This window comes from Homo sapiens, chromosome 9 (assembly GCF_000001405.40).
Source record: "Homo sapiens chromosome 9, GRCh38.p14 Primary Assembly".
Lineage (NCBI taxonomy): Eukaryota > Metazoa > Chordata > Mammalia > Primates > Hominidae > Homo > Homo sapiens.
The window spans coordinates 126,801,334-126,818,583 of record NC_000009.12 but is presented as its reverse complement, the minus strand read 5'-3'; the positions used below and the strand labels follow the sequence as shown (position 1 = coordinate 126,818,583).

Genomic DNA, 17,250 nt, shown 5'->3' with positions numbered 1-17,250 from the left:
ACAAAATTCAGCACCCTTTCATGACAAAAACACTCAAGAAGCTAGGCGTGGTGGCTCATGCCTGTAACCCTAGCACTTTGGGAGGCCGAGGTGGGCGAATTGCTTGGGCTCAGAAGTTTGAGACCAGTCTGGGCAGTATGGTAAAACCCTGTCTCTACACAACGGCCATGTGTGGTGGCTCTCATCTGCAATCCCAGCTACTTGGGAGGATCACTTGAGGCCAGAAGTTTGAGTCCAGCCTGGACGACACAGCAAGACCTTGTTTCTAAATATATATATATATATATTTTTTAATTAGCCAGGAATAGTGGTGCACAGCTGTAGTCCCAGCTACTTGGGAGACTGAGGCAAGAGGATCATTTGAGCCCAAGAGTTTTAGGCTAAAGTGAGCTGTGATCCCACCAGTGTAGTCCAGCCTGGGTGACAGAGGGAGATTCTGTCCAAAAAGGAAAAAAAAAAAAAAAGAAAAAGAAAAAAACTACAAAACACTGCTGAAATAAATTAAAGGCACAAATAAATAGAATACCATGTTGTTTATGGATTGGAAGACATAATATTGTTAAGATAACAATACTACCCAAAGCAATACACAGATTCAAACCAAGCCCTATCAAAAATCCTTGCCCTTAACTTTGGGTGAATATGGCATTTCTCCATATTCTCTGACCTGCAACATGCTAAATTTCTACAGGTTTTTCTATTACAAACTCATAGGCAATTGTGACCTATACTGAGAGTATAGCTGTTGTTTCAGTTATTTAGATGATGTCATAGAAGTAATTAATTAGCTCACTAAAAAACCTCATGGGGCCAGGCGCAGTGGCTCACGCCTGCAATCCCAGCACTTTGGGAGGCCGAGGTGGGTGGATCACGAGATCAGGAGATCGAGACCATCCTGACTAACACAGTGAAACCCCATCTCTACTAAAAATATAAAATAATTAGCCGGGCGTGGTGGCAGGCACCTGTAGTCCCAGCTGCTCGGGAGGCTGAGGCAGGAGAATGGTGTGAACCTGGGAGGCGGAGCTTGCAGGGAGCCGCAATCACGCCACTGCACTCCAGCCTGGGTGACAGAGCGAGACTCCGTCTCAAAAAAAAAAAAAAAACTTCATGGAACATTATATTCAATGTATTATGGGGGACTTCAAAGACAATCAAGAAATGTCACAGTCCAGCCGGGCATGGTGGCTCATGCCTGTAATCCCAGCACTTTGGGAGGCTGAGGTGGGCAGATCACTTGAGCCCAGGAGTTCAAGACCAGCCTGGGCAACATAGCAAGACCCCATCTCTACAAATATACAAAAATTAGCCAGGCATGGTGGCATGCACCTGACATCCTAGCTACTCAGAAGGCTGAAGAGGGGAAATCTCTTGAACAGGGGAGGTCGAGGCTGCAGTGAGCTGTGACTGCCACCACTGCACTCCAGCCTGGGTGACAGAGAAAGACTCTGTCTCAAAAAAAAAAAAAAAAAAAAAAAAAAAAGATACAGTGGAAATGGGGCCAAGTTGAAGGGAAACACTGGCCTGAAACTCCACGTCCTATTCCAGGCAATTCTGACGGGATCAGTAACACTCTTTCACTTGGGAGTCCCAGAGCTAAAAGCCAAGGACAGACAGGTCCTGCAGACTGGCAAAACTCAGAGGTGGGTGGTATTAGGATACCAAAGGTTGCACATTACCTTGGCAGAAGGAAAAAATATTAACATAAGGGGGTGGGACTCCGTAGCCCCAGGAAGGAGGTAAAGGCATAGCCATCATTTGCCAGTTGGGCCAAAGACAACAGAGGGTCCTAGTATCCCAATTTCACCAACTGCAAAGAAAGTACACAGAGCTCAAGCTCCCCTGAGAGGGCCTAAGGCCTACCCCTCCAGCCCCACTCAACTAATCCCAGATGTCAATGTGGTTCAGCCCTGCATCTAGCTTAAGAACTAAGAGCTGATTCTAACAATATTCGGGTATACAACAAGGGACCCAAAAGCAAATTTCAGACCTGAACAGAATGTTTCCCTCTCAAGAATTAAACAAAATAAAACCAACACAGGTCTGTGGATATATTCCAGAATATCAAAAAGAAAAAATAGCAAGAAATAGACAAAGAGTACATTTTAAACAATTTTTAAAATGTTTTTCACAAACTTCATGAAAACACAGTCTCTGAATAAAGTATAAGGAAGATGAGACAAAACAGTAGAATGATATGAAAAAAGGGCAGACTGAATTAATGATAGGGTATCAGGAAACTAATATAGAGCAGAAATTTACACAGGCAATAAGAAGCAGAATTACAACAGTAAAAAAATGGAATCGATAATGTGGAAGGCACTTTGGGGACCTTCTACTAAAATACAAGAAAGTGAAAACAGCGAGAGAGAAGATGATAAAGCAGGAGAACAGAGAAGAGAGATCGATGTACAGCCCGTTAATGTCCTTGAGAGAAAGAACCAGAGAACGTGAAATAATAAAAAATAAATTTAATTGAAGAAAACTGCCCTGAATGGAAAACCTTGAGTATTCAGAAAAGCCTTACCTCAGTAGTGGGGACAAATTAATTCCAGACAAAATGCAGTTCTGGTCCTGCCAAACAAAGCTTAAAAACAAGCCTCAGAAGGATCAAACTGTTTCTAACTTAATTATGTTCCAGAATGAAACTTGAGAACATTTACATAATACAAAAATATCCAGCACCGAACAAGGTAAAACTCATATCTGACATCAAATTTAAAAATCACCAGGCATGCCAAGAACTAGGAAAATATAACCCAGGATACTGAGGTGGGGGTGGGAATCAATCAACAGAAACAGATCCAGAAATGACAGAAGATTTATACAACTGGTAAACAATTCTATATTCTATATTTTCAAGAAAGTAGAGGAAAGATTAAGCATGTTAGGTACAGACAGGGAAACTATTGAAAAAAAAAAAAAGAGAGAGAGAGAGAGACCCAAATAAAACATCTAGAAATTTAAAAAACAAACATACATTGGGATGAGAATAACAACAGAATTGACACTGCAGAACATTAGTGAGCTTGAAAACATGGCAACAAAAACTTACCCAAAATAAAACATACAGAGGAAAAAAAAAGGCAAATAAAAAGGGAATAGAGTATCAGTGAGCTGTGAGACAACTTCCAGATACCTAATGTAGACATGATTGTTGTGGGGAAGGCAAAAAGTTTTATGTGATAAGCTATCAGACACATGAAAACTATATATATATATATATTTTTATATATTGAAAACTATATATATAGTTTTATATATTGAAAACTATATATATAGTTTTATATATTGAAAACTATATATATATAGTTTTATATATTGAAAACTATATATATATAGTTTTATATATTGAAAACTATATATATAGTTTTATATATTGAAAACTATATATATAAACAATACACACATACACACATACATTTTATACATATGTGAAAACAACAGCCAAAACTTTTTCAAATTTGATGAAAACTACGAACTCACAGACCTAAGCAGCTCAACAAACTCCAAGCACAAGAAACATGAAAAAAACTACAGCAAGGCACATCATAATCAAATCACTTAAAATCAGTGGAGAAAATCTTAAAAGCAGCCAGACAAAAAAAAGGCCCCTTGTGTACAGAGAACCTCAGAAGCAATGCAAGCCAGGAGACAGGAGACCATTTTAAAATACTGAAATGAAGGTGGGGGAGGGGGCGGAAAGGCCTGTCAACTTAGAATTCTATACCCATGAAAGTATCTTCAAAGTGAAGGCAAAATACTTTTTCTTTCTTTCTTTCTTTCTTTTTTAGACAGAGTCTTGCTCTGTTGCCCAGGCTGGAGTACAGTGGTGCAATCTCAGCTCACTACAAGCTCCGCCTCCTGGGTTCACACCATTCTCCTGCCTCAGCCTCCCAAGTAGCTGGGACTACGGGCATCCACCACCATGCCCGGCTAATTTTTTGTATTTTTAGTAGAGACAGTGTTTCACTGTGTTAGCCAGGATGGTCTCGATCTCCTGACCTCGTGATCTGCCCACCTCGGCCTCCCAAAGTGTTGGGATTACAGGCGTAAGCCACCGCGCCCGGCCCAAAATACTTTTTCAGACATAGAAAAGTTGAAAGAATTTATCACCAAAAAGGTCAAAAGTTTAAAAAAAAAAAAGTCACATGAAAACAAAAGTCAAGCAACACAATACTAATATCAAAGTAAATTTCAATGTAAATTTACTTTGTAAATTTCATCTGTAAAATTTTTACAGATGTAAAATTTACATTTTACAGATGTAAATTTCATCTGTAAAAATTTTACAGATGTAAATTTCATCTGTAAAAATCAGGATGAAAGTTTATTGTTAACTGATGAAACCTATAATTCACAATGAAGTTTACTCTGTGAACTTTTATGTGTCAGAGTACAATGTTAGAAAATAAGGCAACAGTAACAGAACTGTAATTGTAGCAGGAAATATAAGTATCCCTCTTTAATTCTTAATAAATCAAGTAGGCAAAGGACAAGAATCTATAGGTTTAGACAGCTATCAATAAAGCTAATTTAATGCAATACCTATATACTCTACAAATAATACTCCTTTTCTACTGTCTGTAGGACATTTACAAAAATGATAATATACGTGGCTACAGAGAACATCAATAAATTCTCCAAAGCGGAAATGCACAGGGCACATTTGATTACATGTGACTATACAATGGATTACACAATATGATAAAACTAGAAATGTAAAAAGTAGAGGGGGAGAAGAGGACAAGGCAATAGGGTAGGAGAAAATTCATAAATTTTATACAAAACTCTGGTATCAAAATTGGCCAACAACAAAAAAAACCCTACAAGCCAATCTCACTTATTAACATAGAAAGAAAAATTATAAATCACATGGCATTCTGGTTTGTATACTTTAATCTCTTGCGGGTTTGGTACATCATAAGTATGATATGTTGAAGACACTGAGTTATTGGTCCAATCACACTAACGGCAAGATCCTAGATTATGGTGAAATTACCATCAGAAAGCCATTTCAGATCTCCCTCGGCTCTCTTTCACTCAAGACTAACCCTGGTGACACACACATCATTACTTGTGCTTCCTTCTATGAGTGACAATGAGTGATGGGAGATAAATCTAGAAAAAGCCGAATGAGACGTCTACATTGGGGCAGCACTGAAAACTTCTAAGTGACGTGCTGTGAGGCATGGTTAAGGAAGGTTGATCTGCTGACGGACTAAAGCAGGAGAAAGTCTGAAGTAGAAGCTAATTATAGGATTTCAATAAGTGTAGTCTAGGTAGTAATAAAAGTAACAGTGGGGCCAGGCATGGTGGCTCACGTCTTTTATCCCAGCATTTTGGGAGGCTGAGGCACGTGGATCACTCGAAGTCAGGAGTTCCAGACCGGCCTGGCCAACATGGTGAAACCCTGTCTCTACTAAAAATACAAAGTTAGCCGGGCGTGGTGGCACACATCTGTTATCCCAGCTATTCGGGAGGCTGAGACAGCAGAACTGCTTGAACCTGGGAGGCGGAGGTTGCAGTGAGCCGAGATCATGCCAAAGCACTCCAGCCTGGGCAACAAGAGCAAAACTACATCTCAAAAAAAAGAAAAAAAAAAAAAGTAACAGTGGGTATGGAAAAGGGGTGGCATTGATGAGACTGACAGAACTGGTCAGCAGGAAGATACAGCAGTAGTACAAGGTACAAATGATACCATCAAGAAAGTGAACACACAACCCACAGAATAGGAGAAATTATTTGCAGATCATGTAACTAATGAGTGACTTGCATCCAGAATACCTCAAGAACTCTTATGACTCAATAATAAAAAGATAAATAACCCAACTGAAAAACAGATAAAGGATCTGAAGAGACATTTCTCCAAAGAAGATATACAAATAACCTATAAGCATATGAAAACCACTCAACATCATTAGTAATTAGAAAAATGCAAATCAAAACTACTAAACATCCCTTTTCACTCACTAAAATGGCTGTCAAAAGACAGACAGACAATAACAGGTGTCGGTGAGGATGTGTAGGTATTATAACCTCCATACATTGCTGGTGGGCATGTAAAATGGTACAGCTACTGTGGAAAGCAGTGTGACAGCACCTCAGGGAGTTAAACATAGAGTTACCACGTTAATTCAACAATTCTCCTAGGTACATACCCAAGAAAAATGAAAACATATGATGTCCACACTAAAACTCGTACATGAATGTTCATAACTGCATTATTCTTAAAAGCCAAAAAGTGAAAACCATCATAAGCTCCATCAACTTATGACTGGATAAACAAACAGGATATATCCTTAGAATAGGATGTTTGGCAATAAAAAAGAACGAAATACTGATAGATGTGACAACACGGCTGGCACTTGAAAACGTTATGCTAAATGAAAGAGGTCGGACACAAAAGGCCGTATCTTGTATGACTCCACTTATATGAAATGTCCAGAATAGACAAATCCATAGAGACAGAAAGTAGATTCGTGGCTACAGGTAGAAGAAATGGGGAGCAACTGCTAACTGGGTTTCTTTGAGGGGAGACAAAAGTTCTAAAATTAGATTGTGGTGATGGGTATACAAATCTGTGAATATACCAAAAAAAAAACCTCTTTATTACTTATGAATTATGTCTCTGTAAAGCTGTTTAAAAAAGAGTAATGTGGCCGGGTGCGGTGGCTCACGCCTGTAATCCCAGCACTTCGGGAGGCCGAGGTGGGTGGATCACAAGGTCGGGAGTTCGAGACCAGCCTGACTAATATGGTGAAACCCCGTCTCTACTAAAAACACAAAAATTAGCTGCGTGTGGTGGTGGGTGCCTGTAGTCCCAGCTACTCGGGAGGCTGAGGCAGAAGAATCACTTGAACCCAGGAGGCGGAGGCTGCAGTGAGCCAAGATTACCCCACTGCACTCCAGCCTGGGCGACAGAGTGAGACTCCATCCCAAAAAAATAGAAATAAATAAAATAAAGAGTAATGCAAGGCAAACTGATGTACCAATGCCGACTTTGAATTTCATGACTGAGTGACTAGGAAAATGTCATCATTAATAGGAAATAACAGCAACTACTATTTATGACATACATATACAAATATATAAACTGCTTAATACAGACATTGTACAAAGTCTATGCAAAGCACTTTATATGCTCTGTCTCACTTAATCTTCACAGCAACCCACTCAATAGGTATTTTTTACTTCCATTGTACAGAATTGGAGATAGACAAAAAAGCTAAGCAACTTAAGGTCATATAACTGGTAAGCAGTAAAATTGAGATTTAAATCCAAAGTACTTGTTCAGGCCCACTATAGCTTAAGAGGTGGAAAGAAAAGGTGAATATAATTTTTTCTTCTTTTTTTTTTTTTTTTTGAGATGGAGTCTCTGTCGCCCAGGCTGGAGGGCAGTGGTGCCACTTCAGCTCACTGTAACCTCCGCCTCCCAGGTTCAAGCGATTCTCCTGCCTCAGCCTCCTGAGTAGCTGAGACCACAGGTGCGTGACACCACGCCCAGCTAATTTTTGTGTTTTTAGTAGAGATGGGGTTTCACCATGTTGGCCAGGTTGGTCTCGAACTCCTGACCCTCATGTGATCTGCCCACCTTGGCCTCCCAAAGTGCTGGGATTACAGGCATGAGCCATCGTGCCTGGCTGTGAATATCACTATAGTTTCAGAGTATGGAAAGTAAACGTGAATATCATTTTCACAAATAATCTATATAATTTTATTATATACAATGCATTCACAAACTTTCGCACGCTGACCATCCTTAGACTTAAGATGGCCCAAGCCAGGCATGGTGGCTCACTCCTGTAATCCCAGTACTTTGGGAGGCCGAGGCGGGCGGATCACCAGGTCAAAAGATGGAGACCATCCTGGCCAACATGGTGAAACCCCTTCTCTACTAAAAGTACAAAAAAAAATTAGCTGTGCATGGTGGCCCATGCCTGTAGTCCCAGCTACCTGGGAGGCTGAGGCAGGAGAATCACTTGAACCCGGGAGGCAGAGGTCGCAGTGAGCCAAGATCTCGCCACGCGCTCCAGCCTGTGTGACAGAGCGAGACCCCATCTCAAAAAAAAAAAAAAAAAAAAAAAAGACGGCTGGGCACAGTGGCTCATGCCTGTAATCCCAGCACTTTGGGAGCACGAGACGGTGGATCACCTGTGGTCAGGAGTTTGAGACTGGCCTGGCCAAGAAGGCGAAACCCTGTCTCTACTAAAAATACAAAATTAGCTGGGCATGCTGACAGATGCCTGTAATCCCAGCTACTCAGGAGGCTGAGGAAGGAAAATCTCTTGAACCTGGGAGGCAGAGGTTGCAGTGAGCGGAGATTCTGCCACTGCACTCCAGCCTGGGCAACAAGAGCGAGACTCCATCTCAAAAACAAACAAACAAACAAATAAACAAACAAATGAACAAACAAACAAAAACCTTAATAAGATACCAGCAGTTAGTGGGCCGGGCGCGGTGGCTCACGTCTGTAATCCCAGCACTTTGGGAGGCTGAGGCCCGTGGATCACAAGGTCAGGAGTTCAAGACCAGTCTGGCCAAGATGGTGAAACCCCATCTCTACTAAAAATACAAAAAAATTAGCCGGGTGTGGTGGCCGGCACCTGTAATCCCAGCTACTCTGAAGGCTGAGGCAGAGAACTGCTTGAGCCTGGGAGGTGGAGCTTGCAGTGAGCTGAGATCCTGCCACTGCACTCTAGCCTGGGCGACAAAGCGAGACTCTGTCTCAAAAAAAAAAAGATACCAGCAGTTTTATGCCACTTTGCACATGTATTTTATTTTTTTAATCCAATAGCAACAGTTCTAAAACAAACACACCGATGCCAGCCTGTTCCACTATGCTTCTTAAAAGCTATTTGGCTTTTTTTAACGCAGATGAAGGGCAACATACTGAAGAAATCCTGAACTAGATGACCTTCAAGATTCCTTCCAACTTTGATGAGTTTAATAACAGCCACTATTTATTATTCGGCTGAGGAACTCCAAGTCAAATTTTATACGTGATTTAAACACCTATTAAACATCCTAAAAACACAGATGACAGCAATATAATAGGGAAGCAGACCCACCAGCTACTTATTGTGAAGTCCTTCAGAGGTTTCTTTAATCAGAGCATATGGTAACTTGCATGCTTACTATAGAAAGCATATTTAAACATAGTAAATGTTGCTTCAGTAAATTTAAAGCCTGGCACAAATGTACAAAAACACCAATACCCTATGCCTACTCTTTACATTAGTGAAATGCTTTAGAGTTCACAAAGCACACTATGTAAACCTGCGTTGTGCAACACTCCCGTATCATTGCATCCTTTTGAAATATGAGTAAACTGAAGCTCAAATTAAAAGACCTGCCAGTGGTTACACGTCTCAGAAATGGCATGTCAGCATTCAAACAGCAGTATAACTCCAAATCTAACATTTTTCTAAGTTAAGAAAAAAAATTCACTTGGCAGAAAAATTTATCTGACATTAAATGTTCTATCAGTGCAAAGTATGGCATTGATGGGCCTTAGAAGGTGTAACATCTCTTCAGAAGAGAAGAAAGAATCTTCTGGTCTAGAGGAATTAAAAATCTTAACAAAATACATTATTATTTTTGCTAAAAGAGAAATGATTACAGTAAGTAACTTTAAAAATGGTATCGTGATCAAGTTGATAGCTTACCTAATGCAAAGCTGTATTCCTGGGATAGAGTTCCTTATGCCATGGCCATCAAAAAGCAACATGAATAGAATGAGGAAGAAGAACCCATTTCAGTTTTGCTTCAAATTAAAATCACATTGACTTCTGGAAGGAAGAGTAACAGTGAAAATGTAAAAGAGATGCTATGTACACGTGTATTTGCTAATAAACACTAGAGATGTACATTAGCGGCAGAAAGAAAAGTAATCAAGACTGGCATTTTTGGTTATATTAAATTCCATTCTGCAACTTCATAGCTCCTGCTTTTGTATTTTTTAAAAAAACAAACTTATTTTGTAATAATTTTAAATTTTCAAAAAAACTGAAAAGATAGTGCATAACTCCCATATACCTCTCATCCATTACTGTGGCATATTCATTAAAACTAGAAAACATGGTCAATGACTATGTAATTTTGCAGAATTAATATATCCTTTGGAACAGTGCTATTGGTCTCCTGACCATTGTCAATCAGTATTCTTCCATTTTTTTCCTAATTAGAACACTTTGGCCAAATCACTTAGTAAAAACTATTTTAAGATGTTTTTTAAAAAAACAAGCCACCTGCTTTATGAAGTTTGATTCATGATTCCCTTCAATTTTAAGCCACGGCTGAATGTTTTACTTAAAAACTTCTAGGACAAACATTCTATTACAGCAAACTCTCTGAGATTCAAAAGAGAAGGTAACGTTCTAGAAACTAACCCCCCATTTATCGATCATCCTTCCATTGAATTTCAATAAAGCCAAGGAAATGTTTTTAACTGTACCCTCACGTGCATTAGAATTCAGGATAAGAAGCTGAAATCAAGAAAGCAGAAGGCAGAAACAGTACTCATTTCAAGAAATTAACAACATATCGACAAATTTTAAAAAATATTTTTTCCTCAATATGTTACAAATAAGACAAAAGCCCCTATTCTAACTGCAAATATAAATAGAGTTGAAAAGGAAAAGTTCAGGCCCAGCGCAGTGGCTCACACTTGTTAATCCCAGCACTTTGGGAGGCCAAGGCAGGTGGATCATTTGAAGTCAGGAGTTTGAGACCAGTCTGGCCAACATGGTGAAACTCTGTCTCTACTAAAAATACAAAAATTAGCTGTGTGTGGTGGCAGGCGCCTGTAATCCCAGCTACTCGGGAGGTTGAAGCAGGAGAATCGCTTGAACCCAGGAGGCGGAGGTTGCAGTGAGCCGGGATTGCACCACTGCACTCTAGCCTGGGCGACAGGGCGAGACTCCATCTCAAAAAAACAAAACAAAACAAAAACAAAAACAAGAAAAAAAAAGTTCATGAAAATGATACTCTTCAATTAATTTTCAGACATGCATTTTTTCACATTTTAAAATTCCTGAAATCAGAATGTGATCACCAGGTGGCAGTTTTAATAGCTGTCACTGCCTGAGACAATGATAGAGAACTGCTGAGGTCCTCATCAATGTTCTTGATGACACAAAGGATGACACTCTAGAAAAAATATGGACACACTCTGAATTGAAAAGTGCACAGAAGAGTAGAACTTGGAATGTTAAGTTTAACGAACACTTTAACCAATGTGTTCTTATTTTTCCTTTGTATATATGCATTAGAATAGGCATTGATACCATGTTTTAGTGTCTAAGTCTAAAAGTGTTTTCAATAATAAAAAGTCTAAACGATAAGAGCGTATTAAGCCATAGTTCAATTAGCAGGGTTTCTCCCTTCCTTGGTGGTACATGAAATAACAGCATCTAGGATTCAATTAAATAAAGTAGTAATTCAGTTGTGATATCTTATTAGAAAGCTTGATAAACTACCTTAAAGGCAAATAGACAGCTTAAATAAGAGATTTTAAAAAACAAAAAAACCACAAAGGCATCCCCCATAACGAAACTCAAGAAATAACACATAATTTTGCATTATAATAAAAGGGCTATTTTTCAACCTTATGAGTTTTCTTCCTGTGAAAAGCATAATTATCAAGTATCCTACTTATGAGCACATTCTTGCACTGATTCCAAGAAAGGCAGAGGGAGGAGAGCCAGGGCAGAAAGTAAGTAGAAAGCCTGAGAAAGATTTTAACCAAATTCATTTAACTAAACTTTTCTAAGAACCTCAGCTGTACCCACTGCTGTAAAGAGAGTAGGAATCAATAAACACAGGTTCAACTGTGTTCCTAACAACTACAGAATGAATTTTGAAAAATTACATGTAAAAGGAGCTTATTGGTTTCAGGAGTCTCCAATGAATACTGTTTTTGTTTTTTGTATTGTATAAAATATACATAAAACTTTAAGACTTAACAATTTTAAGTAATTTTAAGAGTCCAATTCAGTGAAGTACATTCACAATGTTGTGCAATCATCACAACCCATTTCCAGACCTTATTCATCATCCCCCAAAACTCTGTTCTGTAACATTAAGCAATAACTCCTCTCCCCAGCCCCTGGTAAACTATTCTACTTTCCGTCTCTTAATTGGTTTATTCTAGGTACTTCATTTAAGTGCTCTCAAACAACATTTGTCCTTTTGTGTGTGGTTTATTTCTCCCGTGGTGCTTTTATAAAGCAAATAATAAATTCCCAATTATTAGGTTTCTTATAATTTAACTGAAAATGCTGACACAATCTCTGAACTAAGCATGCAGTTATCCCAGAAACCCTGCTACTGTTCCAGTAGCCCCAAAGACCTCAGTCTGATCCTTTCTTAGCCTGTAGACAGGCCTGTTAAACAGCTGTAACTCAAAGAGCAGGCTCCAGAGATCCCTGGAGACCATCCTGTGGTGAGTGGATAGAGCGAAGGCATTTGGGAAGCTGTGCAGGCCTGAGAAACCACAGGCGAGAAAAGGAGAGGACTCATCAAGCTGCTCTGGCCCTAAAATGGGCCTCCTGTCTCCCTGACAGGCTCTCCTGCACTCTGACACTTATGTTGGGCGACACCTGTCAGAGTTGAGGCCAAACTGCGGTCGAGTCACTGAGAGTGTCACCAGTGCAGGGAACTTCACGGGGTCATGAGTCACCTTCCATGGCTCAGAGGTCTGGGCAGCCCTGCCCCACCCAAACTCAGGAAAGAGAGACAAGAGGCAAAAACAAAGTTGGCAGAAAGAGAGAAACAGACAGATGGCCAAAAAGCCAGACTGACAGGCCCTGAATTAGAGTAAGGGCTGAGTGGCAGAGACAGGGTGAACAGACACAGAAGCAAGGTGGAGACAGATATAAAACAGGATCCAGATACCCCGACAAAGACAAAGTGGAGAGAAATATCAGGTTGACAGCGACCTAGCTGAAAGACAAAAAGGGCAGGTTACAACAGGTGACAGAGACAGCAACAGGGGATGCTGAATGTTTTACTTAAACAGAAGATCAGCTAAGTCCAGGCGCAGTCTTTCTCCCAGCTCGGCTCGTCAGGCCTCAGGCATTGGTGGCTCGAACCCGAGGTCGTCAAGCCGCGCCCACCCTACGCCCCGAAAGGCCAGCGGACGGACGGGGGCGGGATCTCTAAGCGCTGTGGCCGGCGGAGCTCCGCCGCCGCGAGGGTGACCTTGGGCGAGAAGCTGCCCCAAAGGCCTCGGTATCGCGGTCTGCGCGCCGTGTGGGCAGAAGACTGCGGGATTCGGAGCTGGAGCGCCGGGACCCCAACCTCCCGCGCGGGGCTTTGGTATGCCGGTCCACGGAATGGGCCTGGCGGGGCCAGCGGCGCGAGCGTCGGGGCCTGCTGAGGAGCCCTTAACTCCCCCACCGACTTCTCCTCCCCTACCCTTGCCGCCCGTGGTCCTGGCCACGCAGTACCTGCCAAGGGCTCAGCGCTCACATCCCCCGCCCAAGATATCCTCTCTGCCGCCGGCGCAGGCCTGTTGTAGCCTCAGCTGCCGCAACAGATTCAGCCTGTGCCTTCAGCCCCCGGAAACGCTTCCCGGTCCCGCCCCCCGAAACTGACAGTGCTTCCGGGGGTGCGTCAGAGAGAAAGCGGAGTGCGCATGCGGGACTTACCGTCTGAGCTGGGCGTCGGGAGAGAGCGCGGAGGTAGCGGGCGCCTGCGCAGTACACTCTGGAGCGGGTCAATTTTAGGGACTGACTACGCTGTTGAAAATAGGGGAGCAGATACTGAGTTCTAAACCTTCTTGAAACCTTGGCATAGGCCAGGCGCGGTAGCCCACGTCTGTAATCCCTGCACTTTGGGAGGCCGAGAGGGGATGATCGCTTGAGGCTAGGAGTTCGAGACCATCCTGGCCAACATGGTGAAACCCTGTCTCTACAAAACATACAAAAATTAGCTGAGCGTGGTTGCGCGCGCCTGTAATCCCAGCTACTTGGGAAGCTGAGACAGGAGAATTGCCTGAACCCGTGAGGCAGAGGTTGCAGTGAGCCGAGATCACGCCGCTGCACTCCAGCCTGAGCACAGAGCAAGACTCTTAAACAACAACAACAACAACAACAAAACAAACAAAAACACCTTGACCTTCTCCGTCTCTTCTCTAAACAAACGAACGAAAACCTTGACCTCAGTATGCCTGGCGGAGATTATCTCCAAATCCGTTTCTGCCTTCACAGCACCCATCTCGCTTTTTGGCATGTAGTAGATGCTCAGTAAATGGTCAATGAAAGGACCAGTGCCTTTCCGTGGGCTGCATTGTGCTGGGCACTGGGGTCACACAGATGGTGGGACAGAAACGATCTCTCTAGCCTCCAATTCTCCCACTCCCTCCCAAAACCTCCATACCTCTTCTCGCCCCTTTCTTCCCCACTGCCCCCCCATGTTAGTGTAGAAGAGAGATAGGTCTTTAGCGGTGGGACTCTTACCTTTGGACCCGTTTACAGACCAAGTGCCCTCTTTGTAGAAGAACTAATTTATACCTGAAATCCAGGCAGCTGAAGCGATGTGGTCATAATGCCTTCTGGATTTAGGGTGGATGTTCTCGTGGGGCCTGACATGCCTGTTTGATATTGTCTGTCTCAGTTTAAGCTGATTGGTTTCCCAGCTGTTATGCCTGTCTTGCTTGTTGTTGGGCCCTAGGACACAGGAGTGTAGCTTTCCTAGAGAATTCTACCAAAAAAATTTTTTTTTCTAGAAAACAAAATGAAAGAAAACAAATATGGAAGCACAGAAATGGGAGTGGATGCAGAACAGCTTGTCAAAGATTCTACTTCAAACATGTATGCTCCAGCTCCCCCGCCTTGTGGTTTTGTTTTGTTTTGTTTTGTTTTTTTTTGGAGACGAATTCTTGCTCTGTTGCCCAGGCTGGAATGCAGTGGCACAATCTTGGCTCACTGCAACCTCCGCCTCCCAGGTTCAAACGATTCTCCTGCCTCAGCCTCCCGAGTAGCTGAGACTACAGGTGCATGCCACCATGCCTGGCTAATTTTTGTATTTTTAGTAGAGACGGGGTTTCACCATCTTGGCCAGGCTGGTCTCAAACTCCTGACCTCATGATCCAACCGCCTCGGCCTCCCAAAGTGCTGGGATTACAGGCGTGAGCAACTGCACCCAGCCTAGTTGAGTATACTCTTTAAGTGTTTTGCCACTTTTATTCCTGCCTCTAAGCAGACCTGAAGTTTGGAAGTTCAACTGCCATCATGTGCCTATGAAGTGGTAAGTAAATGCTAAGGCTGGCAAAGCAGGAAGATTGAGAGAACCTAGGTCCCATATGACATTAGGCCACAGTTCCAGCTTTGGACACCCTTAAGTGTTTTGTTGCATGAGCCAAATAAACTTCTTACTTGGACTTTATTTCTGGCAATATTGAGGACTATATATTTACAAATATTACTACAACAAAATATATAAAATTGCTAGAAGAAATATTTAGAATACCCTCTTAAACGCATGGATACACTTGCAAAAAAAAAGTCAGGAAAATTATCTGAAGCTAGGAGGAAAACAAGAACACAAGCCTGGGAAGTCAAACAATTGATGTTCAGAAATTATGCAGAGGTACCGTCTGCATCTGTTCCGATCCATTGGTGCATGTCCTGTACTGACAAATATTTTCAAAATTATCTCTGGAGATAGGTAAACACTGATACTGCTACCAGCTATAGGAGCGTTCACCTGGGTCCAGGCAGGATAAGAGTCAAATTGCAACATCAGGTTGGAACTCACGAAGAAATATGTCCTCAGGTGAAGGATAAACTATGGTGGAAAAAATCTGCCGTACAGAGGTGCAGCAATTAAAGATGTCTCTCTGTGCCTTGGTTCTGAGCAGAAGGGGAAAACATTCCCCTGGAGGATTCATGGCCAAAAAGTCTGGCTATCAAATGGACACACAATTTGCATAGTTCAAAAGCCCGCAATCGCTTTAATTTGAAATGAACCTGGGTAGGTGGTGCCTACAGTATTTGGCCAAAACAAACACAGATCTTCTCTGGAAGAGCTCACTGGCAACCCAGGTTTCAAAGAATTCCCACAGATAGGGTTCTAAATAAATATGAACTCACAACCAGAAACCACAAACCCCCTGAGGAAATAAGCAGAGAAGACAAGCAGTAGAGGTGGATCCACACCGGCTTTAGATATTAGATATTTTAGAACCAGAATATAAAACAAGCATGCTTAGAAAAACAAAGGGGCTAAAAGCACAAGTGAATATCAAGAAACTCTTGAAAAATTGCCAGGCAGCCGGGTGTGGCAGCTCACGCCTATAATCCCAGCACTTTGGGAGGCTGAGGTGGGCAGATCACCTGAGGTCAGGAGTTCAAGATCAGCCTGGCCAACATGACGAAACCCCGTCTCTATTAAAAATACAAAAATTAGCCAGGCGTGGTGGTGTGCTCCTGTAATCCCAGCTACCCAGGAGGCTGAGGCAGGAGAATCTCTGGAACCTGGGGTGGGGGCAGAGGCTGCAGCGAGCCAGGATTGTGCCACTGAACTCCAGCCTTGTGACAGAGCAAGACTCTGTCTCAAAACAAAACAAAAACAAAAAAATTAGCCAACCGTGGTGGTGGGCGTCTGTAATCCCAGCTACTTGGAAGGATGAAATGGAAACATGAGATTAAAAAAAAAATCAAGCTATATACTGTTTAAAACACAAACCTAAAGAAAATTTCAGGCCAGGTATGATGGCTCCCGCCTGTAATCCTAGCACTTTGGGAAGCAGGTGGATCACTTGAGCCCAGGTGTTTAAGACTAGCCAAGGCAACATGGTGAAACCCCATCTCTACAAAAAATGGTGTGGTGGTGCACACCTGTAATCCCAGCTACTTGGGAGGCTGAGGTGGGAGGATCACCTGAGCCCAGGAGATTGAGGCTGCAGTGGGCCATGACCATGCCACTGCACTCGAGCCTGGGCAACAGAGTGAGACCTGTCTCAAAGAAAGAGAAAAAAAGAAAGAAAAGGAAAAAAAGAAAAATTGAAGTAAAAGAATGGCAAAAGAGATTCTGTGCTGGTTAAATTATATTAACATTGGATAAATAAGGATGGGTATGGCAGCTCATACCCCTAATCCCAGCTCTTTGGGAGGCCAAAGTGAGAGGATCACTTGAGGCCAGGAGTTTGAAACCAGCCTGGGCAATATAGTGAAACCTTGTCTCTATAAAAAATAAAAACATTCAGCCTGGGCAACATAGTGAGATGCTCTCTTCAAAAAATAA

At 42.1% G+C, this 17,250-nt stretch overlaps 1 protein-coding gene across 6 annotated transcripts in view, besides 5 other annotated features; it reads right to left on the bottom strand.

Moving 5' to 3' along the window:
• The window catches only part of ZBTB43 (zinc finger and BTB domain containing 43), a 34,139-nt gene extending 19,627 nt beyond the window's left edge, over positions 1 to 14,512 (bottom strand). For 2 of the 6 annotated variants that reach the window (XM_047423031.1, NM_014007.4), the window contains exons 1-2: positions 13,452 to 13,544; positions 9,669 to 9,791 (exon numbers count right to left, since the gene is read on the bottom strand). The gene's annotated coding sequence lies outside the window, so the exon portion shown is untranslated. Of the gene's footprint in view, positions 1 to 9,668; positions 9,792 to 10,391; positions 10,488 to 13,013; positions 13,545 to 13,652; positions 13,743 to 14,462 lie in introns of those variants that run through there. The other 4 variants (XM_011518409.1, XM_047423032.1, XM_005251835.4 and 1 more) reach the window with 4 other exon arrangements.
• Positions 12,370 to 12,519: an enhancer, noted in NCBI's record as "active region_29021". NCBI's record gives its function as "activates an Ori minimal core promoter by ATAC-STARR-seq in GM12878 lymphoblastoid cells {active_cell/tissue: GM12878}" and the evidence as "EXISTENCE:reporter gene assay evidence [ECO:0000049][PMID:35858748]".
• Positions 12,670 to 12,779: an enhancer, noted in NCBI's record as "active region_29020". NCBI's record gives its function as "activates an Ori minimal core promoter by ATAC-STARR-seq in GM12878 lymphoblastoid cells {active_cell/tissue: GM12878}" and the evidence as "EXISTENCE:reporter gene assay evidence [ECO:0000049][PMID:35858748]".
• Positions 13,190 to 13,249: an enhancer, noted in NCBI's record as "active region_29019". NCBI's record gives its function as "activates an Ori minimal core promoter by ATAC-STARR-seq in GM12878 lymphoblastoid cells {active_cell/tissue: GM12878}" and the evidence as "EXISTENCE:reporter gene assay evidence [ECO:0000049][PMID:35858748]".
• Positions 13,317 to 13,818: an enhancer, noted in NCBI's record as "H3K27ac hESC enhancer chr9:129567045-129567546 (GRCh37/hg19 assembly coordinates)". NCBI's record gives its function as "activates a minimal SCP1, AML or CMV promoter by ChIP-STARR-seq in naive H9 embryonic stem cells {active_cell/tissue: H9 hESC(naive)}" and the evidence as "EXISTENCE:reporter gene assay evidence [ECO:0000049][PMID:30033119]".
• Positions 13,880 to 13,929: a silencer, noted in NCBI's record as "silent region_20292". NCBI's record gives its function as "represses an Ori minimal core promoter by ATAC-STARR-seq in GM12878 lymphoblastoid cells {active_cell/tissue: GM12878}" and the evidence as "EXISTENCE:reporter gene assay evidence [ECO:0000049][PMID:35858748]".
• Positions 14,513 to 17,250: the final 2,738 nt, after the last annotated feature.